Source organism: Homo sapiens, chromosome 19, assembly GCF_000001405.40.
Source record: "Homo sapiens chromosome 19, GRCh38.p14 Primary Assembly".
NCBI classification, from domain to species: domain Eukaryota; kingdom Metazoa; phylum Chordata; class Mammalia; order Primates; family Hominidae; genus Homo; species Homo sapiens.
The window spans coordinates 57,118,369-57,145,862 of record NC_000019.10 but is presented as its reverse complement, the minus strand read 5'-3'; the positions used below and the strand labels follow the sequence as shown (position 1 = coordinate 57,145,862).

Here is a 27,494-nt window from a genome sequence, read left to right as displayed (position 1 = left end):
AAGTCTGGTTTAATCTCTTGGAATTCAGTTGGACGCTCAATTTTGGAAGGTCTCCATGTCTGCAGGCAAGGGCATGTAGCCTGTGTTTAAATTCAACACCCAGACTAGGGTGGGGATGGATTGGCATGTTGATCTCATTTTGAGAGTATTAGTACAGCTGAAGAGATTTTGCCAGTTGGAGGTTGGAGCCTGAATTCTTTCTGTCGGGCGGAGAGCACTTTAAGGCATTGTTCCACCTCCGCTGGCCCTATTTCTTTTTTCTTTTCCTTTCTTTTTTTTTTTTTGAGACGTGAGATGGAGTCTCGCTCATTGCCCAGGCTGGAGTGCAGTGGCACGATCTTGGCTCACTGAAGCCTCCGTCTCCCGGGTTCAAGCGATTCTCCTGCCTCAGCCTCCCAAGTAGCTGGGATTACAGGCACGTGCCACCATGACCAGCTAATTTTTGTATTTTTAGTAGAGACGGGGTTTCCCCATGTTGGCCAGGCTGGTCTTGAACTCCTGTCCTCCCAAAGTGCTGGGATTACAGGCATGAGCCACCGTGCCCAGCCAATTTTTGTTGTTTTAATTTATTTTCATCCTCTGACATTTGGATAATGTTTTCCATGCTTTCTATTTCAAAGTTAAGGTAAAAAATTTTTACTTGCATGAACTTAAAAAAAATTCCATTGGAAACTGATTGGGCAGATTTGAAAATTAAGCTTTCACAATCACAATTTTTATGAGAGTTCATTCAGTTTTGGAGAAGTCGAGGAAAGAATTGGGAATTGAAATTTTGATGTGGCCTGATAGGATCAGGTGGGGCTTTTGATAGGAAGTGAGTGTTTTGGGTTGTTTCTTGACTGGATTATGATGCGGAATACAGCGGGTAGAGGGCCGATTAAGTTTTAGTCATTAGTGTAGCTTTTCAGTATACACGCCTTTTCATTTTCAGTCCCTTTCAGAAGAAAAGACCACAGGCATCAGAAATCAATCAACTTGCTAATTTATGCCAGATTCCACTGGAGGTAAGCTGATTTTTTTTTCTCCCTGAAAACCAAATGTCTGGGTTTTGTTTGTTTGTTTGTTTTGCATTTTTACTTAGTTTCATTTTTCTACCTCTCCTATTTGCTGGAATAAGCTAAATATTTTACATTGGTAGTTTAGATTTTTTTTTTAGTTGTCATATTGAAAAGTGATGCTCCCAGGACACTCAAAATTATTTTCGTGGCCCTCCAGTCCTTAGCATTACTGCTGGCCCACAGCTACTTCTAAAAACTTTTTATTGACAAATAATAATTGTGTTTATTTATGGGGTACAATGTGATGTTTTGATACATGTTTACATTGGGGGGATGATTAAATCAAGCTAATTAATCTATTTTTGTGGTGAAAGCATTTACAATTTACTGTTTTTTAAAATTATATATATTTTTTGTGCTAGAATTGGACTCCTCAAACTTTAATAAACATTAAAGTTGTGCCCGGCAAGTTTATTCTTTTTAAAAACATATTTACTTATTTAAAACTTTATTCCTGGCTGGTGTGGTGGCTCATGCATGTAATCCCAGGATTTGGGGAGGCTGAGGGAGGAGGATTGCTTGAGCCTAGGAGTTTGAGACCAGTTTAGGTGACATAGCAAGATCCCTTCTTTACAAAAAATAAAAAGTTAGCTGATGTGGTAGCATGCACCCATAGTCTTAACTATTCAGGAGGCCAAGGTAGGAGGATTGCTTGAGCCAGGGATTTTTAAACTGCTGTGAGCCGGGATCACATCACTGCACTCCAGCCTGGGTGACAGAATGAGACCCTGCCTCAATAAAATAAAATAAAAAATAAAAACTTTATTACTTAAACATTGAGACAGAGGTTTCACTATGTTGCACAGGCTGGTCTCAAACTCCTGGGCTTGGCTGGATGTGGTGGTTCACGCCTATAATCCCAGCACTTTGGGAGGCTGAGGCCGGCGGATCACTTGAGATCAGCAGCTCGAGACCAGCCTGAACAACATGGTAAAACCTTGTCTCTACTAAAAATGCAAAAATTAGCTGGGCATGGTGGTGCATGCCTGTAATCCCAGCTACACGGGAGGCTGAGGCAGGGGAATCCCTTGAACCCGGGAGGCAGAGGTTGCAGTGAGCCGAGACTGTGCCACTGCACTCCAGCCTGGGCGACAGAGCAAGACTTGGTCTTAAAAAAAAAAAAAAAAAAGTAACTCCTGGGCTCAACTGATCCTCCCACCTTGGCTTTCCAAAGTGCTGGGATTATAGGTGTGAGCTGCCACGCGTGGCCAAAATCTACGCTTTTGGCAAAGAATTACCAATGATCCAGCTGTCCCGCTTATGGCAAAGCTGAAGGGCTATCTGCATCCCATGTTCACTGCGGCGTTATTCGTCACGACCACAGCTGCTTCAGGATTCATGGTTTCTGCTCTCGGCCTTCCTTACTGTGCTCTAGCTGATCTGATGCTTGCCTCATTGTCTTTGCACAGGCTTGTTTTAAAGGTGCTGTTGAACTGCTGTTTAGCTTTCTCTCTCTCTCTTTTTTTTTTTTTTTGGGACGGAGTCTCGCTCTGTCGCCCAGGCTGGAGTGCGGTGGCGCGATCTCGGCTCACTGCAAGCTCCGCCTCCCGGGTTCCCGCCATTCTCCTGCCTCAGCCTCCCGAGTAGCTGGGACTACAGGCGCCCGCCACCACGCCTGGCTAATTTTGTTTTTGTATTTTTAGTAGAGACAGGGTTTCACCGTGTTGGCCAGGATGGTCTTGATCTCCTGACCTCGTGATCCGCCTGCCTCGGCCTCCCAAAGTGCTGGCATTACAGGCATGAGTCACCGCGCCCAGCCAATTTTGTATTTTTAGTAGAGACGGGGTTTCACCATGTTGGACAGGCTGGTCTCGAACTCCTGACCTCTGGTGATCTGCCTGCTTCAGCCTCCCAAAGTGCTGGGATTACAGGCGTGAGCCACCGTGCCTGGCTTGCACTTTCTTCTTTGAGACCCAGTCTCAATAAATAAACAAACACAAAAAAACCAAAACAAAAAAAAAAAAGACCTTCAGAAGGGGATCACTGAGGTACAAGTCAGGGCTTTTCTGAGTGGGTTAGGGAGAGCTTTTATCCAGGGTGTGGAGCATTCTATGCTGGATGATCCCCAACTTCCAAAGCGAATTCTGCTATTTCATGGTTCTTTTCCATTTTCCCTCAGATCTGCCTTCCCAAGACTTTACTGACTGGTGAAGAACAGGAAATGAACAATTCCCAGGTGAGCTTTTCAAAAAAATCTAAATCTCATAATGAATAAACGTATGACCCACGTTCCTCTTGCTCAGAATTAACTGTGCTAACCTTTTGGCATATTTTCCTCCTTCCTTCCATACTTCTATTAAAAGGTAACACACACTCTACTTTCTGCTTTCCTATTAAAGCTGAAACATTTCAAGTAAAGCTCAAGGCTGGGCATGGTGGCTCACACCTGTAATTCAGCAATCTAGGAGGCCAAGGCAGGCGGATCGCTTGAGTTCAGGAGTTTGAAACCAGCCTGGGCAACATGGCGAGATCCCGTCTCTACAAAAAATTAGCTGGGTGTGGTGGTGGTGGCGTACACCTGTAGTCTCAGCTACTCTGGAGGCGGAGGTGGGAGAATCGCTTGAACCTGGGAGGTTGAGGCTGCAGTGAGCCATGATTGTGCCACTGCACTCCAGCCTGGGTGACAGAGCATGACCCTGTCTCAAAAAAAAAAAAAAAAAAAGCTTGGTTACGGAAACACCAGGAGTTTGGTCTAGGTCCTGCTACTGGCTGCACAGAAAGCCAATGACTGAGACAATGGGTATTGCCAAGGAAGAAGCTTTAATCAGCTGCCGTAGGTGAAGAAATGGGAGCTCAGCCTCAAATCCATCTCCCTAACTCACTAAAACTAGGGGTTTATACAGCATGGAAGAAATATAACAATGTGTAAGAAAGCAAGACTAGGGAGGGGGCAAGGAGACATCTGTTGTGGTGAGTTTCAGTTGTGGTGAGTTTCAGTTGATTTTTTTTTTTTGAGGGAGTCTCGCTGTGTCACCCAGGCTGGAGTATAGTGGTGCAATCTCAGCTCACTGCAACCTCTGCCTCCCAGGTTCAAGCGATTCTCCTTCCTCAGCCTCCTGAGTTGCTGGGATTACAGGTGTGCGCACCACCACTCCTGGCTAATTTTTGTATTTTTTGGTAGAGACGGGGCTTCACCATGTTGGCCAGGCTGGCCTCGAAATCTTGACCTCAGGTGATCTGCCTGCCTTTGAGAGATCTGAAGGTCTTTTCCTGAGGAAGGAACTCAGACAAAACAAATACAGGTTTCAAGCTTTAACAGCGGAAGGGTCAATTTCTATGTTTATCCAAAAAACAAAAACAAAAACAAAAACAAAAAACAAAAAACCCACAACTGTCTATGGGATTACTGGGCTGGTTTCAGCTCAAGCATCTTTGTTTTGTTGTTTTTTTTTTTTTTTTTTTTTTTGAGACAGTCTCCCTCTGCCACCCAGGCTGGAGTGCAATGGCTTGATCTTGGCTCACTGCAACCTCCACCTCCCAGGTTCAAGCGATTCTCCTGCCTCAACCTCCTGAGCAGCTGGGATTACAGGCGCACGCCACCACGCCCACGCCCGGCTAATTTTTGTATTTTTAGTAGAGATGGGGTTTTACCATATTGGTCGGGCTGGTCTCGAACTCCTGACCTCAGGTGATCCACCCGCCTCAGCCTCCCAAAGTTCTGGGATTACAAGGGTGAGCCACCACGCCCAGCCTCAAGCATCTTTTGACCATTGCTCTTACAAACCTGGTCCACTGCTAAGCCCTGAGATGTAACAGTGTCATGTGTGTTTCACCCCAACCTATTTTTTAAATGATTGGTGTCTTGAATGTGTGTCCTCTCCCAACTTTGTTCGGTGTGTATTTGAAACAAATTCTGTAAATCCACACAATAAACTGAAAAATCATTAACTAGTACCAGTCGGAATCAAAGTAAATTATGGATAGCTGAAAGACCAAGGATAAGTTGTATGCAGTTAGGCAGATAGTAGTTTCTTTGCAATTGTTAAAATTAAGCCTGTTGACCAATTTCCTGTTGACAGGAAAGGCATACTAAGGCTGGGTGTGGTGGCTCACACCTGTAATCCCAGCACTTTGGGAGGCGAAGGCAGGAAGACCACTTGAGGCCAGGAGTTCAAGACCAGCCTGGACAATATAGTGAGACCCTGTCTACAAATAATAAAAAATGAGCTTAGCATGGTGGTGCATGCCTGTAGTCCCAGCTATTCTGGAGGCTGAGGTAGGAGGATTGCTTGATCCTGGGAGGTTGAGGCTGCAGTGAGCCATGATCATGCCACTGTACTCCAGCCTGGGTGGCAGAGCAAGAACCTGTGTCAAAAATTTAAAAAAAAAGGCCGGGTGCGGTGGCTCATCCCTTTAATCCCAGCTCTTCGGGAGGCCGATGCGGGCAGATCACTTGAGGTCAGGAGTTTGAGACCAACCTGGCCAACATGGTGAAACCCGTCTCTACTAAAAGTACAAAAATTAGCCAGGTGTCGTGGTGCGCGCCTGTAATCCCAGCTGCTCAGGAGGCTGAGGCAGGAGAATCGCTTGAACCCAGGAGGTGGAGGTTGCAGTGAGCCGAGATTGTGCCACTGCACTCCAGCCTGGGCTACCAGAGTGAGCCTCTGTCCCCTTCCCCGCCAAAAAAAATTAATAAATAAACAAAATTTTAAAAAAGCGAGCTAGAGCACAAACACAACTAAAAAATTTATCTGTCCAAGAGGACACTAGGTGCTGGCTCTTAGAGGTGAGATTTTCAGTTTCTGACAAAGGAATTCGCTTTACAAGTGTGACTTCCAACACTGTGAGTGTTGAGTGGCAGGGGCAAAATGCTGCCGTAAGTCCAGTATGGCTGCAGGAGAGACCCAGGGGAGTGCTGTGTGACCCTGTGTGAGTGGGAGTGTGGTAGACATGCCAGACGCTGGCCCCTGTAACAGGTGTCACCTGTTTCTCCCAAATGCAAGGAAAGCTGATAAATTAGGGGAGCGCACCATCCAGTCTGAATGTCGACTGTGGAAAATAGATTACAGTCAGTTTAGATGTAGCTGGAAGAATTAGGGGGCTATTGGCTTATTCTACTTATTTATGTATTTATTTATTTGAGATGGAGTCTCACTGTCACCCAGGCTGGAGTGCAGTGGTGTGATCTCAGCTCACTGCAACCTCCACCTCCCAGGGTTCAAGCGATTCTCCTGCCTCAGCCTCCTGAGTAGCTGGGATTACAGGCGCGCACCACGACACCTGGCTAATTTTTGTATTTTTAGTAGAGATGGGGTTTCACCATGTTGACGAGGCTGGTCTCGAACTCCTGACCCCGGGTGATCCACCTGTCTCAGCCTCCTGAAGTGCTGGGATTATAGGTGTGAGCCACCATGCCAGGCCTCTATTTAAAAAAGAATTTCTAATAGAGGCAGGATGTCTTAAAGAAAAATGGAAAATAGAAAAAAAATATAATAACATTTTCTTTTCTTTTCTTTTTCTTTTTCTTTTTTTTCTTGAGACAGAGTTTTGCTCTTGTTGCCCTGGCTGGAGTGCAGTGGCGCAATCTTGGCTCACTGCAGCCTCCACCTCCTGGGTTCAAGTGATTCTCCTGCCTCAGCCTCCTGAGTAGCTGGGATTACAGGCGCCTGCCACCATGCCTGGCTAATTTTTTGTATTTTTAGTAGAGATGGGGTTTCTTCATGTTGGCCAGACTGGTCTCGAACTCCTGACCTCAGGTGATCCACCCGCCTCGGCCTCCCAAAGTGCAGGGATTACAGGTGTGAGCCACCGTGCCCGGCCAAAATAATAAAATGTTCTTTGAGATAGGGGTTTTGCTATGTTCCCCAGCTAGCCTCAAACTCCTGGCCTCAAGCAATCCTCCTGCCTCGGCCTCCCAAAATGTTGGGATGATAGGTGTGAGCCACCATACTCGGCCTCTGCCTTACTCTAAGTAAAAGATGACAAGGTGGATTTATGAATGGTGGAGAAGATGGAAACTAATGGCTGGGTTTGAGATTCAGGAAGTAAAATTGGTGGGACTAGAGGGTGGAGAAAGATGGCAGTGTCATGAGTAGGTCTAAGGTTTATGGCTCATTGGCAAGATCCTCTGGGCACAATTTATTTTCATCCAGAGTAGAGTGAATTATGGACATGATTAAAGCTTGGTTCAGCAGAAACAAGTTTCTGTATCCTCAGCCGCAGGATTCAATGGCATTTTTATACTGATCGGGAATCTGTTGTTACAGGGAAGAGTGACCTTCGAGGATGTCACTGTGAACTTCACCCAGGGGGAGTGGCAGCGGCTGAATCCCGAACAGAGAAACTTGTACAGGGATGTGATGCTGGAGAATTACAGCAACCTTGTCTCTGTGGGTAAGGACGGCTTCCCGGGCAGGGGGACTCAAAACCTAAGGCGTGAAACACACAGACACCCCATGGCTGGCCAAATAGGGTTGGCACAGAGGTGCTCCTCACTTCGCATATGTTTTTGTAGAGCCGGGACTAGGGTGAGGCAAGTGAAGTGTACCAAGTGCTGTATTGAAGGAGCCCCCATTCTCAGGGTCGGCAAGTGCCGGGAGAATGAGTGAGGGCCTCTGTAAGTTTTGTGGGCTGGGTGCCCTGCCCTTCACCCTACTCCTGGTCTTGATTTTTGGAAAAGCTTTATCCTCCAAGAAGAAAAAGCATTTCTTTCTTTCCCTTCCTTCCCTCCCTCCCTCCCTCCCTCCCTCCCTGCCTCCTTCCCTTCCTCCCTTCCTACCTCCCTTCTTTCCTTCCTTCCTTCCTTCCTTCTTTCCTTCCTTCCTTCCTTCTTTCCTTCCTTCTTTCCTTCCTTCCTTCCTTCTTTCCTTCCTTCCTTCCTTCTTTCCTTCCTTCTTTCCTTCCTTCCTTCCTTCTTTCCTTCCTTCCTTCCTTCCTTCCTTCTTTCCTTCCTTCCTTCCTTCTTTCCTTCCTTCTTTCCTTCCTTCCTTCCTTCTTTCCTTCCTTCCTTCCTTCCTTCCTTCCTTTCTCCCTCCCTCCCTCTCTCCATTCCTCTCTCTTTCTTTATCTCCTTTCTCCTAACAGGGTCTGGCTGTGTCACCGAGGCTGGAGTGCAGTGGTGCAATCATAGCTCACTGTAGTATTTTTTTTTTTTGGAGACAGTCTCGCTCTGTCACCCAGGCTGGAGTGCAGTGGTGTGATCTCGGCTCACTGCAACCTCCGCCTCCCAGGTTCCAGTGATTTTCCTGCCTTAGCCTCCCGAGTAGCTGGGATTACAGACGTGCACCACCATGCCTGGCTAATTTTTGTATTTTTTGCACAGATGGGGTTTCTCCATGTTGGTGAGGCTAGTCTTGAACTCCTGACCTCAGATAACCGGCCCGCCTCAGCCTCCCAAAGTTCTGGTATTACAGGCATGAACCACCACGCCTGGCGTCACTGCAACATTGACCTGGGCTCAAGCCATCCTCCCACCTCAGCCTCCTGAATAGCTGGGACCACAGACGTGCACCACCACACGTGGCTTTGGTTTTGTAGAGACTGGGTCTTGCTATCTTCATGTTACATGTAACATGTTGGTCTCAAATTCCTGTGCTCTAGCAATTCTCCTATCTCGGCCTCCCAAAGTGCTGGGATTACAGGCATGAGCCGCCACACCCAGCCCAGAAAAAGCATTCTTTGTTTAGTTCGACTGCTCAGGTGCATTCCCTCAAACCATCCATCCACACAACTCCCCCCAACCAATGGCACATACCCACACACTGACATATAAATGCTCACACTCACACACAAATATTCACACAAGCATACGCAAGCGCTTATATACACTCATACACTTGCACAAACAACTCACACATCCACAAACACCAAGCCTTGCGGTATCTTCCATCACAGGACAAGGGGAAACCACCAAACCCGATGTGATCTTGAGGTTGGAACAAGGAAAGGAGCCATGGTTGGAGGAAGAGGAAGTGCTGGGAAGTGGCCGTGCAGGTAGGTGACCAGGAGAGCACTGTGGGTCAATGGTGCATGGAAGCCAATTCAGCTTTTCTAAATGAGGAAGTCGTTTGGCAGCCAGCTGTGACTTCCTGGGAGTGCTGGAAGAAATCTCCAGGTATTTTTCTCCACTCAGAAATTTCTTTACATTCTTATCTGGGTTTTCCTTTGCAGGCAAACTCTTTTTTTTTTCTTTTTTTTTTTTTTCTGGAAACGGAGTCTCTGTCGCCCAGGCTGGAGTGCAGTGGCGCGATCTGGGCTCACTGCAACCTCCGCCTCCCGAGTTCGAACGATTCTCCTGCCTCAGCCTCCCGAGTAGCTGGGATTACAGGCACTTGCCACCATGCCCGGCGAATTTTTTGTATTTTTAGTAGAGACAGGGTTTCGCCATGTTGGTCAGGCTGGTCTTGAACCCCCGACCTCAGGCAATCCACCCGCCTCAGCCTCCCAAAGTGCTAGGATTACAGGTGTGAGCCCCTGTGCCTGGCCTGGCAAACTCTCTTTCTTAATCTCCCTCTCCCTGGTATCCCTAGGCTCTCACCTGCTCCCTGTGCACTAGGTCTACGTTGCTCAGTCCTTTACAGACAGATATGTGATAGCTTCATGTAACATTAGCTCACATAGAACTCTAACAGAGCTTATATTAACTTTGGTTTCTCGTAGACATTAGGTTTGAAGCCAGAATAATCACCACAATAGATTGTTTATGGCATTTTATTTCAAGCATGTGAGTGGAACGTTTTACACAGGACATTTTTTTGTATTCCATTTTAGAAAAAAATGGGGACATTGGAGGGCAGATTTGGAAGCCAAAGGATGTGAAAGAGAGTCTCGCAAGAGAAGTCCCATCAATCAATAAGGAAACGCTGACTACGCAGAAAGGTGTAGAATGTGACGGATCTAAGAAAATACTTCCACTGGGCATAGATGATGTATCTTCCTTGCAACACTATGTACAAAATAATTCTCACGATGATAATGGATACAGAAAATTAGTTGGCAATAATCCATCCAAATTTGTAGGACAACAACTGAAATGTAATGCCTGTAGAAAGTTATTCAGTTCAAAGTCACGCCTTCAAAGTCACCTGAGGAGGCATGCCTGTCAAAAACCCTTTGAATGTCATAGCTGTGGAAGAGCATTCGGGGAGAAGTGGAAGCTTGATAAACATCAGAAAACTCACGCAGAGGAAAGGCCCTATAAATGTGAGAACTGTGGAAATGCCTACAAGCAGAAGTCAAATCTCTTTCAACATCAGAAAATGCATACTAAAGAGAAACCCTATCAGTGTAAGACATGTGGAAAAGCCTTTTCCTGGAAATCATCCTGCATTAATCATGAGAAAATTCATAATGCCAAGAAATCCTATCAGTGTAATGAATGTGAGAAATCCTTCAGGCAGAACTCAACCCTCATTCAACATAAAAAAGTTCACACTGGACAAAAACCCTTTCAATGTACGGACTGTGGAAAGGCTTTCATTTACAAGTCAGATCTTGTGAAACACCAGAGAATACACACGGGAGAGAAACCCTATAAATGTAGCATATGTGAGAAGGCCTTTTCCCAGAAATCCAATGTCATCGATCATGAGAAAATTCACACTGGGAAGAGAGCTTATGAGTGTGATCTATGTGGAAATACCTTTATCCAGAAGAAAAACCTCATTCAACATAAAAAAATCCATACTGGGGAAAAGCCCTATGAATGTAACAGATGTGGAAAAGCCTTCTTTCAGAAGTCAAACCTTCATAGCCATCAGAAAACTCATAGCGGAGAGAGGACCTATAGATGTAGTGAATGTGGAAAAACCTTCATCCGGAAATTAAACCTTAGTTTGCATAAAAAAACCCATACTGGACAAAAACCTTATGGATGTTCTGAATGCGGTAAAGCCTTCGCTGACAGGTCATACCTTGTTAGGCACCAGAAAAGAATTCACTCCAGATAGGAGCCCCATGCACTTAAAAAAACATGGGAAGATATGGTTGCCTGGAATTGTCACCCCAGAATTCCATGTTGAAATGGCCTCTAATTTGGAGGCTATTTTTGAAGGTAGCGAGGACTTATTATCACAGTATCCTTTGAAAACCCATTCGGCATACTCACTCAGCAAATGTTTATTAAGTATAAATATTTATTAGATGCCTTTTGTGTACCAGGAACTCTTAAACACTGAAGATGTAGCAATAAACCAAATGTGCTAAAACCCTGATGGAGTTTTATTCCAGTGAATAATGACCAGTGGTATCCATATCTTTAAAAACGTTTAAAAGACTATACTTTTGGCCAGGCGTGGTGGCTCAAATGCCTGTAATCCCAGTACTTTGGGAGGCTGAGGTGGGCGCATCACCTGAGGTCAGGAGTTCGAGACCAGCATGACCAACATGGTGAAACCCTGTCTCTACCAAAAATACAAAAATTAGCCAGGCATAGTTGTGGGCACCTGTAATCCCAGCTACCCGGGAGGCTGAGGCAGGAGAATTGCTTGAACCTGGGAGGTAGAGGTTGCAGTGAGCCAATATTGCACCATTGCACTCCTGCCTGGGCAACAAGAGCAAAATTTCATCTCAAAAATAAGATAAAATAAAATAAACAAATAAGACAGCACTTTATACTTTTAGGGATGATTTCTATAATTCATGAGTGGAGAGGTTTCTCTAGAGGTGTAGGGGACTGGAAACCACATCCAGGAAGTACAGCTTTCTCTCCTGAGCATGAAGGTATCTTGGCATTTCTTCACTGCAATTGCCATTTGCCTTTTTTGTTTTTCCTTTTGAGATAGGGTGTCACCTGTTGCCCAGGCTGGAGGGCAGTGGTGTAGTCATAGCTCACTGCAGCCTCAAACTCTTGGGCTCAGGCAATCCTTCCACCTCAGGCTCCCAAAGTGCTTTGATTACAGGCATGAGCCATGGCACTCAGCCTCGTTTCTTTCTTTTCTTTTTCTTTTTTTGGAGACAGAGTTTTACTCTTGTCACCCAGGCTGGAGTACGGTGGTGTGATCTCAGCTCACTGCAATCTCCGCCTCCCTGGTTCAGGTGATTCTCCTGCCTCAGCCTCCAAAGTAGTAGCTAGGACGACAGGCATGCACCACCACGCCTGGCTCATTTTTGTATTTTTAGTAGAGACGGGGTTTCACCATGTTGGCCAAGATGTTCTCGATTTCCTGACCTTGTGATCCGCCTGCCTTGGCCTCCTAAAGTGCTGGGATTACAGGCGTGAGCCGCTGTGACCGGCCTACATTTCTTTTTTCATAGTACTTTCCTTCTTTTCCTCTTAAATGCTAAAAATAATGTATTTTTAAAAACCTCGTACGTATGTTTCTGGTTGCTCTTCTCTTCTTTCCCACACCTACTCTGCCTAATTTTGCCCCATTCCTTATATAATACCAGGCTCTTATCTCTTTTTACCCAAAAAATCCTCTCAATTTCCATTTGTCTACTCACATGGCCATTTAAAAAAATCGTTCTTTACTCCTTGCTGAATTCACAGTCTAACACATCACCCACTGATACTGGGTACATTATAAGCTGTTTAAGGCTTGGCCACCAGGAAATGTTGTACATTTATGAGGATGGGTTTATCGTCTTATTCATATTAATAACATGAGCAACATCTTGCAGTGCTTTTGAATTCACAAAATCACACGGATATTTAGTATACTGCATTTTGCATATAACCCTAATGTTATGCCCTGAAATTCCTGGAAAATGGTAAATAACAGTTGATTGCTGCATAGCAAATTTTACTAGTCACCAGTCATAAACACATGTGGAAGCTAGCCAATGGTATATGTATGGGTTGGGTTATTATTTTAATAACTTTACAAAGGAAAAGTACTCACCCCCTGCTTTCTTTCTGTGTCGTGACTGAAAATCATGGACTGCTTTGACCACTCTGACCAGCCAAGCTGCAGGCTTTTCCCAGAAGGCTTGAATCCAAAGTAGAGCCTGAAACATTCCCAGGCACTGATAGAGGTATTTAGGTTTAGGTTGTTGCCCAAAACACTAAAAGAAACTAGTCCCCACCCTTGACCAAATTCCTTATAAACTTATATAACCCCATACCCTGACCCTCTCACTGCAGCAGACACACCAAGGTAGACCATCCCCCCTCCCGCCTTTTTTTTTTTTTTTTTTTTGAGACAGGGTCTTTCACCCAGGCTGGAGTGCAGTAGTGTGATCATAGCTCACTGCAGCCTTGAACTCCCAGACTCAAGTGATCCTCCCACATCGGCTTCCTGAGCAGCTGAGACATGCCTGGCAAAGTTATTTATTTATTTAGAAATGGAGTTTTGCTCTTGTTGCCCAGGCTGGAGTGCAGTGGTGCGATCTCGGCTCACTGCAACCTCCATCTGCTGGGTTCAAGTGATTCTCCTGCCTCAGCCTCCTGAGTAGCTGGGACTGCAGGTGCCTGCCACCACACCCAGCTAATTTTCTATTTTTAGTAGAGACGGAGTTTCACCATGTTGTTCAGGCTGGTCTCAAACTCCCGACCTCAGGTGATCCGCCCGCCTTGGCCTCCCAAGTGCTGGGATTACAGATGTGAGCCACCGTGCCTGGCTGCTGAATTATTTTTTGTAGAGACAGGGTCTTGCTATATTTCCCAGGCTGGTTTTGAACTGGTCTGCTCAAGCAGTCCTCCCACCTTGGCCTCCCAAAGTGCTGGGATGACAGGCATGAGCCACGGTGCCCAGCTGGTTGACCATGCTTTTTTCTCTCACTGTCCGCCTGAGGGTATGCTGCAGAACTCTCTAAGTTCCCCCTAATAAATGCTCCGGAAAGATCCCTCTGGTGTTTGGTGCTTCTTTCTTTGGAATCCCAACCGGCCCGATCTCAGAATGGTTTTGGGCACTCTCTTGTTGGAATTTCCCTGCTGCCACTTTTGGGGTGACTCTATCTAGTCTTAGGTTCAGTGGGACAAAATAAAAGAGTGCAAAAAATTTAATGAAAATCGTTTATATAACATAAGCAATCCATATCAACAGTAGCAAAATACACCAAGATACTCCACACATTACCAGTGTTCTTCAAACTTTCATGAGCACTAGAATCTCCATCTGATTGCTGGCTCACACCTCCTGTTTCTGCATCAGTTGGTCTAGAGAGTGACCCAAGAATTTGCATTTCTAATCAGTCCCTAGCTGTTGCTGTTGCTGGTTGAAGAACAACATTTTGAAAACCACCGTCAAAACGTGAAGAGCACCATTCTAATCTTGCAGGGAAAATATGCATATGCGCCTGAGTTCTGGGATCTAGGTGTCTGAAGCAGTTAAAATAGATATTCCCCCAAAATAAGTGTTTTTCATTGAGATTTCATCCTGAGATACTTGTTCCTTCATTCTGAGTGAAGTACAGGATTCTCTTTGCAAGGATGAAGTACAGGATTCTCTTTGCAAGGATGAAGTGAGGCCGAGTGAGTCTGTCAAGCAGGTCTGTACAAAGAGTCACCTTCGTATTCCCCCTGAGGGATCACCCCTGCCTGTGTGCTAGGTAGCCGAGAGTTCTCTGCTTTTCTTAACAGCTCCTCAAAAATCCCATTGTGCATGTAAAAGAAGATATACCCAGAGTGAAGCCTCGCCTCCTGCATTTTGGTCTCTGAGATTTCTGATACACATAGATCGTTGTATGTGAACCAGGCCTGCTTCTGAAAGTCATACACATCGCTGATGTAATGGCCTGAATTTGGGGAGCTCCCGATATGGCTGACAACACTGATGAGTCTGTAGGCCTGGAGAGGATCCCCCATCTTCACGTTTCTTGTTAGTTCCTTGGCTTCACCTCTTGTGTTCTCTGCATCTAAAATGTTTTTGTTTCCTGGGTTGTCAGAACCCAGTGCCCCAAGGTGATTCAGGTCAGCCTTTTGAAGTCTTAATTCTGTAGACTGATTGAGGGTCTCTTCTGTATGTTCCTGGGCATCCAGCTTCCTAACACCTGGAGGTGGTGCCTGCTGAAGAAATTCATCTATGATGCTCTCCTCAATACACTGCTGGAGCTGTTCAGCCATTCCTTGAGATCCTTCTGGAATCCTGTTTTCTTTACAGTCATAAAAGCCATTGGTGGACTCAGTGACACTGTCAAAATTGAACTCTACGAATGTATTGGTTTTCTCATACTTCTGAAGTTCTGGATGTTGAGGCACCTCTTGAAGATGAACCTCGACAAGCCTTGTGTCTGGGCTGCTGATCAGCTTCCCTCCATCTTCATACATCACAGGAAGAGAAATGTCTCCCTGGTCCATCAGTGAGTCAGCCACTGGAAGCTCCTTTTCACCGATTGCCCTATCTCTAAAGTGGACCAATTCTGACTCTAGTGCAGAGCCATTTTCCAGGTCTCTCTGATGCTGCTCTTGGCTTGCATCTCCACAGTCTCTCTGGAATCTTTGTAGGTCGGCATTCTTGTCTGGTTCAACGGGTAGAACCAGGGAATCACTGGATTCTGAGGTCAGCTTCATTGATGGTGTCAATGGGCTGTTGATCTCAGAAATCATCTCCTGAGAGACTTCCAGGACTTCACATTTCCCAACAGGTGCACTACTGCTCAAGGGAAGAGGTGGTTTGGTGCTTTCATTGCAATAAGAAGATAAACTTAAAGATTTGGGAATATAAACTTGCTCGTTATTCTTCACCAGCAACCAAGCATTGTTGAAGCTATAGCGTTTCAGATGAATGATAAGGACCCTGGAGAGCCTACTAAATGTATGCCTTGCAACACAACTCTTCTGCTTACACATCTGACAGTTATATTCAAGCTCTTCTTCTTTAAAGAAAAGATCTAAAGAATTCTGAATGGACAAAGGAAGTGGTTTTGTTTCTTGGTGCAGGTTGATGGAGAGATAATTATTAGGTTCTACCTTGAGAACAGCATGACCACAAGCTTTACAAATAAGGGAGAGCTGCAATTCAAACTCAAAATTAGCAACAACAGGGCAAACAAACACTTTGGTGGCAGCACTACCAACATGCATTTGTGGAGATGAATTTTCATCCCCACATTCTTTCCCAGTATTCAAAGTGGCATTTAATTTTTCCATGTCTTCTTTCAGCTGGTCTAAACACTGACCTAAAAACTCATGAGCATCATTCTGCATGTTGCCAGAAAATATTTCTGCAACTGCTGAAATGACTTTTTTAACATTCCCAAGTAATTCTCTCTTGATCTTTGTACTACAGAAATCTTTCAAAGCAAGCAGCTGGGTCAAGGTCATAATAAGAGCCTCAAAGGGAATATATTCCCATGGGACACCTTGAGTGAGTAAGTCATCAGCAAAAGATGGAATTGCAAATAGCGATTGTAAAACTGCATTCATGTAACAGGTGTTTCCCAAATTGGGGAACCCCTGCTGCAGTTGCTGTGAATGAGAGTCAAGAGGCACCTGGGCTTTGTTGCATCTTGGGTCACCCTGGCTGTGCTCTGGTTCCAATGGAGATGTCAAACCATTTTTGGCATTGAGAGTCTGGGTTGCAAGAACAGTCTCATCTAGGTTAGGATTTCCATTACAGTTGGTATTGAATGAAGGCCCGAGTTTCAAATCTCTATCTTTTTCTAAATCCTCTAAACTTGATGGGTTCTTCCTATTGCTTTGTATATATTTCAAGGAATCTGTCTTATATTTCTTGTTTGGTACAGGGTTATCTTCCTTCAGAATGTCCTCATTTGTCTGTACATCAGATGATAGTGTGTTTTGCCCCTTCCCACCTTGATTTTCTAATATCCCCTTTTTCACATGTGTTGGTGATTTTGACATAAACAAAGGCATCTTCTGATAACTTGGCTTGTTACAAATGCTGTAAAATGAAGTTTTGTCAATTTCCTTCAGCATATTCCTGCTTTCAAACACACTCCAATCATCATCAGATTTCATGGGTTGCTGAGATTTGTTTTGGTGGATTATGTCCAGGAACATATTCAACTGTTTAGCATCTCTGTAGGATAATTTGTCAATAAACAAGAACACGTTGTTTTTCAAAGTTAAACGCAGGTGACTTTGTCTTTTTTTACAATGTCTAAGGACCACACTTCTAATGTTGTTGCTCAGCTGAAAAATTCTTATAAATTTTCCAGATTTGAAAGTGACCACCAGTTTAATTTCCTTTTGTCTTTGCACTGTTTCAATGAGAGCTTCTTTCAGCTTAGTCATCCCAGTCTTCTGGCTCCAAATTTGGATGAATCCACATACCTTTAGAGATATCATCCTTTCTTTATGTAACCTAAAGAAGAAAAGCACACATGCATTTTAACCAAGAATATATTAACAGTTATATTTTATGAAAAACCTCATCCACATATAATAATGATTTATTTTTAGTCTTCTTATGCTCTAAGTAAAATACTCTTTTGGGGTGCTAATATTCTGAAGCTGTGCCAGTTCTCCAGAAGACATAGACTGAGGCACACGCATTTTCAAGGGAGCTGTTAGGCGAGAAAGAATATACAAATGGCCAACAGAGATATGAACAGGTGCTCAGCATCACTGCTCATCGAGAAAATACAAATTTGGTTGGGCATGGTGGCTCACGCCTGTAATCTTAGCACTCTGGGAGGCCAAGTGGAAGGATCACTTGAGCCCAGGAGTTCAAAACCAGCATGGCAAAATAGGGAGACCTCATCGCTACATAAAATTTTTTAAAATTAAAAAAGGGGCGGGGCCAAGATGGCCAAATAGGAACAGCTCCGCTCTGCAGCTCCCAGCGAGACCAATGCAGAAGGTGGGCGATTTCTGCATTTCCAACTGAGGTACCCAGTTCATCACATCGGGACTAGTTAGGCAGTGGGTGCAACCCATGGAGGGCGAGCAGAAGCAGGGTGGGGCATTGCCTCACCTGGGAAATGCAAGGAGCCAGGGACCTCCCTCCCCCAGCCAAGGGAAGCCGTGAAGAACTATGCTACTCGCCCGGTTACTACGCTTTTCCCACAGTTTTTGCAATCTGCAGATCAGGAGATTCCCTTGTGTGCCTACACCACCAGGGCCCTGGGTTTCAAGCACAAAACTAGCCAGCTGTTCGGGGAGACACCGAGCTAGTTGCAAGAGTTGATTTTTTTTTGTACACCAGTGGTGCCTGAAACCCCAGTGAGACAGAACCATTCACTCCCCTGGAAAGGGGGCTGAAGCCAGGGGGCCAAGTGATCTCACTCAGCAGGTCCCACTCCCATGGAGCCCAGCAAGCTAAGAACCACTGGCTTGAAATTCTCACTGCCAGTGCAGCAGTCTGAAGTTGACCTGGAATGATGGAACTTGGTTGGGGGAGGCGCATCCGTGATTAATGAGGCGTTAGTAGAGTTTTCCCTGGACAGTGCTAAGGAGGGTGGGAGGTTTGGACTGGGCAAAGTTCACCACAGCATGGCAAAGCAGCTGTGGCCAGACTGCTTCTCTAGATTCCTCCTCACTGGTCAGGGCATCTCTGAAGAAAGGGTAACAGTCCCAGTCAGGGGCTTACAGATAAAATTCCCATCTCCCTGGGACAGAGCACCTGGGGGAAGGGGTGGCTGTGGGCACACAGCTTCAGCAGATTTAATCTTTTCTGCCTGCTGGCTCTGAAGAGAGCAGCTGATCCTGATAAGAGGGATTTTCCCAGCACAGCACAACAGCTCTGCTAAGGGACAGGCTGCCTCCTCAAGTGGGTCCCTGACCCCCGTGCCTTCTAACTGGGAAAGAACTCCCAACAGGGGTTGAGAGACACCTCATGCAGGAGAGCTCTGGCTGGCATCAGGCTGGTGCCCCTCTGGGACAAATCTTCCAGAGGAAGGAACAGGCAGCACTCTTTGCTGTTCTGCAGCTCTGCAGCCTCCGCTGGGGATACCCAGGTGAAAAGGGTCTGGAGTGGACCTCCAGCAAACTGCAGCAGACCTGCAGAAGAGGGGCCTGACTGCTAGAAGAAAAACTAACAGAAAGCAACAACATCAACATCAACAAAAAAGACCCCCACACAATAACCCCATCCAAAGATCAACAGCCTCAAAGATCAAAGGTAGATAAATCCACAAAGATGAGGAAAAACCAGCACAACAACGCTGAAAAATCCAAAAAACAGAATGTCTCTTCTCCAAATGATCGCAACTCCTGTTCAGCAAGGACACAAAACTGGACAGAGAATGAGATTGATGAATTGATAGAACTAGGCTTCAGAAGGTGGGTAATAACAAACTCCTCTGAGCTAAAGGAGCATGTTCTAACCCAATGCAAGGAAGCTAAGAACCTTGATAAAAGGCTACAGGAATTGCTAACTAGAATAACCAGTTTAGAGAGGAACATAAATGACCTGATGGAGCTGAAAAACACAGCATGAGAACTTCGTGAAGCATACACAAGTATCAATAGCCAAATCAATCAAGCAGAATAAAGGACATCAGAGATTGAAGATCAACTTACTGAAATAAGGCGTGAAGACAAGATTAGAGAAAAAAGAATGAAAAGGAATGAACAAAGGCTCCAAGAAACATGGGACTATGTGAAAAGACCAAACCTACGATTGATTGGTATACCTGAAAGTGACGGGGAGAATGGAATCAAGTTGGAAAACACACTTTGGGATATTATCCAGGAGAACTTCCCCAACCTAGAACGACAGGCCAACATTCAAATTCAGGAAATGCAGAGAATACCACAAAGATATTCCTCGAGAAGAGCAACCCCAAGACACATAATCGTCAGATTCTCCAAGGTTGAAACAAAGGAAAAAAATGTTAAGGGCAGCCAGAGAGAAAGGTCGGGTTACCCACAAAGGGAAGCCCATCAGATTAATAGTGGATTGCTCCAGAAACCCTACAAGCCAGAAGACAGTGGGGGCCAATATTCAACGTTCTTAAGGAATTTTCAACCCTGAATTTCATATCCAGCCAAACTAAGCTTCATAAGCGAAGAAAAAATACAATCCTTTACAGACAAGCAAATGCTGAGGGATTTTGTCACCACCAGGCCTACCTTACAAGAGCTCCTGGAGGAAGCACTAAATATGGAAAGGAAAAGCCGGTACCAGCCACTGCAAAAACACACCAAAATATAAAGACCAATGACACAGAAGAAACTGCATCAACTAATGTGCAAAATAACCAGCTAGCATCATGATGATGGGATCAAATTCACACGTAACAACATTAACCTTAAATGTAAATGGGCTAAATGCCCCCAATTAAAAGATACAGACTGGCAAATTGGATAAAGAGTCAAGACCCATTGATGTGCTATATTCAGGAGACCTATCTCATGTGCAAAGACATACATAGGCTCAAAATAAAGGGATGGAGGAATATTTGCCAAGCAAATGGAAAGCAAAAAAAAGGATGGGTTGCAATCCTAGTCTCTGATAAAACAGATGTTAAACCAACAAAGATCAAAAAAGACAAAGAGGGCATTACATAATGGTAAAGGGATCAATGCAACAAGAATAGCTAACTATCTTAAATATATATGCACCCAATACAGGAGCATCCAGATTCATAAAGCAAGTTCTTAGAGACCTACAAAGAGGCTTAGACTCCCACACAATAATAGTGGGAGACTTTAACACCCCCCTGTTAATATTAGATAGATCAATATTATCATCACCACATAGCACTTATTTTAAAATTGACCACATAATTCGAAGTAAAACACTCCTCAGCAAATGCAAAAGAACGGAAATCATAACAAACAAGCTCTCAGACCACAGTGCAATCCAATTATAACTCAGGATTAAGAAACTCACTAAAAACCACACAACTACATGGAAAGCCTGGCTTCACCACTTACTGCTTTTGTAACACTAAGGCTGAAACTCAACCCTCCTGAGTCTTACTTTCACATAAGTGAAAATGGGACTGCAACAATAATAACGACTTCTTAGGATAAGTCATTGGGCTAAAACAGCTCAAAATTAATTGTCGACATCATATTCCTATTGCTAATCCTAGGAATATATTAAACTACCTCATATGGAGAAAATTAAGGCTCCATCATGGGAGGAAAGGGAGTTTAGTGACTTTTATTACAGGTTTATTGTTTGTTGTACTACATCACTCTATATGATGCTCCTGAATGACTACTGGTTAAATAACAAAATTAAGGCAAAAATAAAGAAGTTCTGTCTGGGCACGGTGGCTCACACCTGTAATCCCAGCACTTTGGGAGGCTGAGGCAGGTGGATCACCTGAGGTCAGGAGTTTGAGACTAGCCTGGCCAACATGGTGAAACCTGGTCTCTACTAAAAATACAAAAATTAGCCGGGCATGGTGGCAGGCACCTATAGTGCCAGATACTGGGGAGGCTGAGGCAGGAGAATCGCTTGAACCCTGGAGGTGGAGGTTGCAGTGAACAGAGATCTCGCCACTGCACTCCAGCTGGGGAGACACAGCAAGGCTCTGTCTGAAAAACAAAAAACAAAAACAAAAACAAAAAAAAAACAAAAAAGAAAACCAAAAAAAAAACCCCACAAAAAACAGGGAGTAAGGAAAAGGAGTAAGATGGCGAGTTGTTGTGCTAGCTAATTAGCAAAACCGAGGTGGGGAGAGAGACAGAGAAAGGGAAATATGAAGAGTGAAAAAAAAAAAAACATGAAGGGAAAGACATCTCAAAACACAAACAGGTTTCAGAAAAAATAAAAAATATCTCTCTGAATTTGCTCCCTCCCCTTACTCATTTGCCCATTTCTCCCCAGGCAGTGAGGAATGCCTACTTCCTTCCAACATTCCAATTTCAGGAAAAGCAGTGAAATCCCAATGAAACCAACAGAAAAAGTTGCCCTTTGCTACTCACAGTTCTTTCCGAAGAAACTTGAGTCAATTTACTGAAGTTTAAGCTTTGGAGAGCTGTCCATGGTCACACTGCAGGCAGAGCTCTGACTGCCACGGCTGTTACTAGGAAGAAACAAAAAGGTCAGAGTCCTGAAACTGAGGTTTATTTAAAAAGTCTGCACATAGTCCCAACCATCTTTCATGTTAATTTATTGCATTATATCTTAGAAACTGGGAAAACCAACCTTCCTCCAAAGTCGTTTACGTTAATTTAATCTGGGAGAAAACCTCCTGTGTTAATGGGATTATCTCTAAATGCATTCCTAAAAGTGCCCCTCCCCAATTACACAGATTAGATTAATATATCAACTGACTTCACATTCATTGGTTTTCTTGGAACTCTGCCACAACAAGACCTTCTAACAACATTTGTTGTTTGAGAAACCTTATACTTTATGGGTCTCTAACTTAAAGACTAGTTCTGACTTTGCTTACCTAGAACTTTAAGTATCTTTATTTTTTTCTTGTTACAAAGAGGCACTACAGAGAGGATGCATCGAGATCACACATTGTACATTCCAACTTCCAGGATTCCAAGCCCGGCTTCACCGCTTACTGCTTTTCTAACACTAAGGCTGAAACTCAACCCTCCTGAGTCTTACTTTCGTATAAGTGAAAACGGGATGGCAACAATAATAGCGACTTCTTAGGATAAGTCATTGGGCTAAAATGGCTCAAAATTAATTGTTGACATCATATTCCTATTGCTAATTCTAAGAATATATTAAACTACAGGGATGCCTCATATAGAGAAAATTAAGGCTCCATCATGGGAGGGAAGGGAGTTTAGTGACTTTTATTACAGGTTTATTGTTTGTTGTACTACATCACTCTATATGATTTACATGCCTTAATACCATTTAATTCTGCAAGTGACCATATGATATTCAATTTTATTACATTTAACATAGTAAGAAAACTGAGGTCCAAATGCATTATTAATACATTAAGGGACTTTTAGGAGTCACTCAGCTAAAGAAACAGGGATGTGTAATCAGAAATGGCTGCTGTTGATGGGTGCCCACATTTCTTCAATGTAGGGCATGAGCTATACTATGCCAAACCCAGCAAACCATGTGGGAAGCAGAAAATCTTCCATGATTATAATTAATGTGTCCTCAGTTTCCTGAGAGATCCTAACATAATATATAGAGTGTGAAGAAAAGCCCCTCCATTTCATCCTGTTGCTGCTGATAAATTATTGCCTCTTTAGGGAAACTTCACCCTCACTGGACCTTAAATTTAATGAAAGGAGGAATCACAAAAATTAGAGATCATCAGCTTTTCCCTGAGCTGAGTTCAAAAGACAGGTAGGCTTCATCATTTTCATTTTGGATGCATGCTCTTTTCTGAAAATGCCAATATCCAATGCCACAGAAAACAGAAAACTATCCCCTCAAAATAAAAACCCAGAATCAGGATTTTCGAATTTACAATTCAACCTCATAAAGGGTAGAAGATGAAATTCCCCTCATCACAATATCTGACAATATCTTTAGGGCATTAAGTTTAGACAGACCCTCCTTCCAACACTCACACACACATACACACACACACACACACACACACACACACACACACACACACATCCCATCACCCAAACAAGCAAACCTTGAATGAAACTTACAGTTTGGAGAGCTGTTCTGGGTGAGTGGATGATAATTCTTTTTTCAGAAATGAGATCTTGCTATGTTGCCCAGGGTGGTCCCAAACTCCTGGCCTCAATCGATCCTCCAGCCTCAGCCTTCCAAAGTGCCTGGATTAGACTCCATAGCGCCTGGAGGAGAATGATGGAAGTTGAGTCTGACAGTGATTATGATGTTCCGACCTTTTATTCCCAGGTGGCTCCACCCATATCACGGGTTTTTCCAGGAAATACGTTTCTTGATTAACTTATCTCTGTGTAAGAGTTTAAAATATTTGTCTAGAAAAGGCTAGATAGTGACTTATTTTACTTTATTTCAATTGGTAATTAAAAACTTTTATTTAGAAATCATTGCAAATATACATAAGAATTGCAAGATTAGTAGAAATAACTTATATTCCCTTCACCCAAATTTACCAATTGTGTATATTTTGCCACATCTGTCTGCTTTCTCTCTCCCTCTTTTGATGTTCTATGTATCTATCTATCTATCTATCTATCTATTTTTTAATAGAGACAAGGTCTTGCTATGTTGCCCAGGTCTCGAACTCCTGACCTCCAGTAATCCACCCGCCTCAGCCTCCCAAAGTGCTGGGATTACAGGCTTGAGCCACCATGCCCAGACATGTTCAAGTCCCTTATATAACAGGATATACTTTTACTCCACTTAATGTTTACCTGTTTTCTTTGTAGTAACCGTGCTTTTTGTTTTATATATATATAATTATATATATATAACATATATGTATATATATAACATATGTAAGTACATATAACATATGTAAGTATATATAACATATGTAAGTATATATAACATATAAGCATATATAACATACATATAAGCATATATAACATATATAAGTATATATAACATACATATAAGTATATATATAACATATATAAGTATACATAGCATATATAAGTATATATAGCATATATAAGTATATATAACATATATAAGTATATATAACATATAAGTATGTATAACATGTATAAGTATATATAACATATATAAGTATATAACATAAGTATATATAACATATAAGTATGTATAACATATATAAGTATATATAACATATATAAGTATATAACATAAGTAGATATAACATATATAAGTATATATAATATATAAGTACATAACATATATAAGTATATAACATATATAAGTATATATAACATATATAAGTATATATATAACATATATATCCTACATTTTCAACACGTGTAACAAATGTGGATAGTTTCAAAAAGATCATTTTACGTTCTAGTAGTTACCCTGTTTGACCAAAGTGTAGTACTTTTATTTTTCTATTGCAGTGCATTTTCTTTTTTTTTTTTGGCGGGAGGTGAGGGAGCGGAGCGGGGATGGAGTCTCACTCTGTCACCGAGGCTGGAGTTTAATGGCGTGATCTCGGCTCACTGCAGCCTCTGCTTCCTGGGTTCAAGTGATTCTCCTGCCTAAGCCTCCTGAGTAGCTGGGATTACAGGAGCCCGCCACCACGCCTGGCTAATTTTTTGTATTTTTAGTAGAGACGGGGTTTCGCTATGTTGCCCAGGCAGTCTCGAACTCCTGATCCGCCCGCCTTGGCCTCCCAAAGTTCTGGAATTACAGGAGTGAGCCACCGTGCCCGGCCTTTTTTCTGTTTTTTTTTTTTTTTTTTTTTTTTTGAGACGGAGTCTCTCGCTCTGTCGCCCAGGCTGGAGTGCAGTGGTGTGATCTCGGCTCACTGCAACCTCCACCTCTGGGGTTCAAGTGATTCTCCTGCCTCAGCCTCCCCAGTAGCTGGGATTACAGGCACCCACCATCATGGCCAGCTAATTTTTGTATTTTTAGTAGAGACAGGGTTTCACCTTGTTGGTCAGGCTGGTCTCAAACTCCTGACCTCAGGTGATCTACCCGCCTCGGCCTCCCAAAGTGCTGGCATGACAGGCGTGAGCCACCGACCCAGCCCTTTTTTCTTTTATATAGTTTTTGAGACAGGGTCTTGCTCTGTTGCCCAGGCTGGAGTGCAGTGGTGCGATCATACCTCACTACACCCTCGATCCCCAAGGCTCAAGTCATCCTCCAACCTCTGCCTCCTGACTATCTGACACTACAGGCGTGGGTAATTTTTAAATTTTTTTGAGACATAGTCTCACTTTGTTGTCCAGGCTGGAGTGCAGTGGCATGATCTCAGCTAGCTAATTTTAAAATTTTTTGTAGAGATGGGTGGGGGGAGGGTCTCACTATGTTGCCCAGGCTGGTCTCCAACTCCTGGGCACAAGCGATCCTCCCGCCTCGGCCTCCCAAAGTGCTGGGATTACAGGCATGAGCCTGGCCAGCATTTTCTGTTTGAATGTTTTTACGTAACCGGAGTCGTCATGATGGAGGTACAGTTCCTTGGACTTCCGGCTCCCATGGCTCTGGAAATCTCAGCTCGGACCCGCCCCTTCCGGCGCCGACTCCCCTGATTCTCCTGGGAACAGAAGAGTTCTGGGCACAGCACGCTGCGTCTGCGCAGTGCCGGGCGCAGGCCTCCCGACCTACGGGTCTAGGTACGGGCTCTAGCGTGGCCGGGGCACATAGAGTTCCTGGCCTAGAGCTGGTGGGGCGTAACGGCAGGAGTTAGGGTTCAGAGAAAACCAGCCCAGGGGCGGGTTCATCCTGTTACCCATTCAGCCTCAAGCGAGGTGGGGTGTGGTAGGTGGGCTGGTGCTAGAAACCACGCCGGGAATTGTTAATAACAGTCATCCCGGCCGGGCGCGGTGGCTCACGCCTGTCATCCCAGCACTTTGGGAGGCCGAGGAGGGCGGATCACCTGAGGTCAGGAGTTTGATATTAGCCTGACCAACGTGGCGAAACCCCGTCTCTACTAAAAATACAAAAATCAGCCGGGCATGGTGGTGGGCGCCTGTAATCCCAGCTACTCGGGAGGCTGAGGCAGGAGAATCGCTTGAACCCGGGAGGCGGAGGTTGCAGTGAGCGGAGATGGCGCCACTACAATCCAGCCTGGGCGACAGAGCGAGACTCCGTCTCAAAACAACAACAAAACCCCCAAAAAAGCGGTCATCCTCCAGGTGGAAGAGACAGAAGAGAGGGTGCGGAAGAGACTTAAAAGTCTTAGGCCTTCAAGCGTGTTTGCCTCAGCCACCCGTGAATCCTACAGGAAAACTAAAACAACTCGGCCACAAGCCCCCAAGTCTTGGGGAAGCGGACGGTTTCCCAGCCGAGCTTTAGGAGGAGGCGCCGCGGGACCTCACGGGTGACGTCGTCCCCGGGGGTAGTTTGCGCAGAGGGTCGCTTTGGGCGCGCTTAGAGTCGCGTGGTGCCTGGGCCAGCGAAGCCCAGGTGCAGTCATTTGTGGCCCTGTCCCGGCGCGCGAGGGGCCAAGGCTGGTCGGGGGCCGGGTCCGCGCGGTAGCAACTGCGTCCTGCCAGCTTCCATCTCTCCCTCTGAGGGCCTGAGCGGCTGCCAGAGTCAGGTCTGCAGGCCGGGCGCTCACGCGTCTGTGCCCAGTGAGGCCCCAAGATGCTGGTGAGGCCTCGACCCTGACTGGTGTCCAGGCTCTTGACACTGTCGTGAGAAGGAATTCATGGATGAGCAGAACAAAGTGTGGAGATTCATTGCGACGGGAATAAGTACGTACTGAAGAAAGAAAAGTGCAGGCATACCACAGAGCATCACGCCCAGCGGGGTTTGGAGCTACCTTTAAATATTTATTTAACCAAGGGGTGGAATATTCATGAAGATTCTTGGAAAAAGGTAAACATTTCTTGGTACTGCGGTGCCACACATTTTTATACTAAATACGGGTGTTCCCCAGAGCTGTCACAGTGGGTGTGTGACTTAGTATGTTAATGAGCACATAATGAGAGGTCCTAGGTGAAACGGGTCGAATCCAGCACCATGTTGGGTCCAGTCGGCTTTAGCCAGCTTGGCCCACACCCTGGTTTTCAGAGTCTTATCCGCCCCTAGCTTACGCAGCGATTTCAACGGTTTCCTTTGCTAGTCATGTGAAACTGTTGCCTGGAATTTTCCGTTCTCCTGTGACCACCTTTATTATTCCTGTCTCAAGGGGCACCCCATTTGTGCCTATAAGGAGACTGCA

At 44.6% G+C, this 27,494-nt stretch overlaps 2 protein-coding genes and 1 non-coding gene across 4 annotated transcripts; 2 read left to right on the top strand and 1 right to left on the bottom strand.

The window, feature by feature from the left end:
• Positions 1 to 660: 660 nt before the first annotated feature.
• Positions 661 to 11,767, top strand: ZIM3 (zinc finger imprinted 3). The gene is made up of 5 exons (NM_052882.1): positions 661 to 1,004; positions 3,178 to 3,234; positions 7,265 to 7,391; positions 8,892 to 8,990; positions 9,768 to 11,767. Exons 2-5 carry the CDS (start codon positions 3,220 to 3,222, stop codon positions 10,943 to 10,945), a joined length of 1,419 nt encoding a protein of 472 aa, NP_443114.1. The 5' UTR covers positions 661 to 1,004; positions 3,178 to 3,219; the 3' UTR covers positions 10,946 to 11,767.
• On the top strand, positions 11,603 to 11,814 carry LOC124904804 (small nucleolar RNA U3). Its single transcript, XR_007067384.1, has one exon. It is a non-coding gene; the product is annotated as a small nucleolar RNA U3 (small nucleolar RNA).
• Positions 11,815 to 13,936: 2,122 nt separating this feature from the next.
• Positions 13,937 to 26,776, bottom strand: USP29 (ubiquitin specific peptidase 29). 2 transcript variants are annotated; one of them, NM_001389643.1, is made up of 4 exons: positions 26,642 to 26,776; positions 23,389 to 23,538; positions 21,724 to 21,818; positions 13,937 to 17,203 (listed from the first exon to the last, which is right to left on the bottom strand). In NM_001389643.1, the coding sequence occupies exon 4, from the start codon at positions 17,185 to 17,187 to the stop codon at positions 14,419 to 14,421; it is 2,769 nt and encodes a 922-aa protein (NP_001376572.1). In that variant the 5' UTR covers positions 17,188 to 17,203; positions 21,724 to 21,818; positions 23,389 to 23,538; positions 26,642 to 26,776; the 3' UTR covers positions 13,937 to 14,418. The 2 variants fall into 2 exon arrangements, with proteins under 2 accessions (NP_001376572.1, NP_065954.1); NM_020903.3 differs by lacking the exon at positions 26,642 to 26,776 and adding an exon at positions 25,634 to 25,878 and having other exon boundaries at positions 21,724 to 21,824.
• Positions 26,777 to 27,494: the final 718 nt, after the last annotated feature.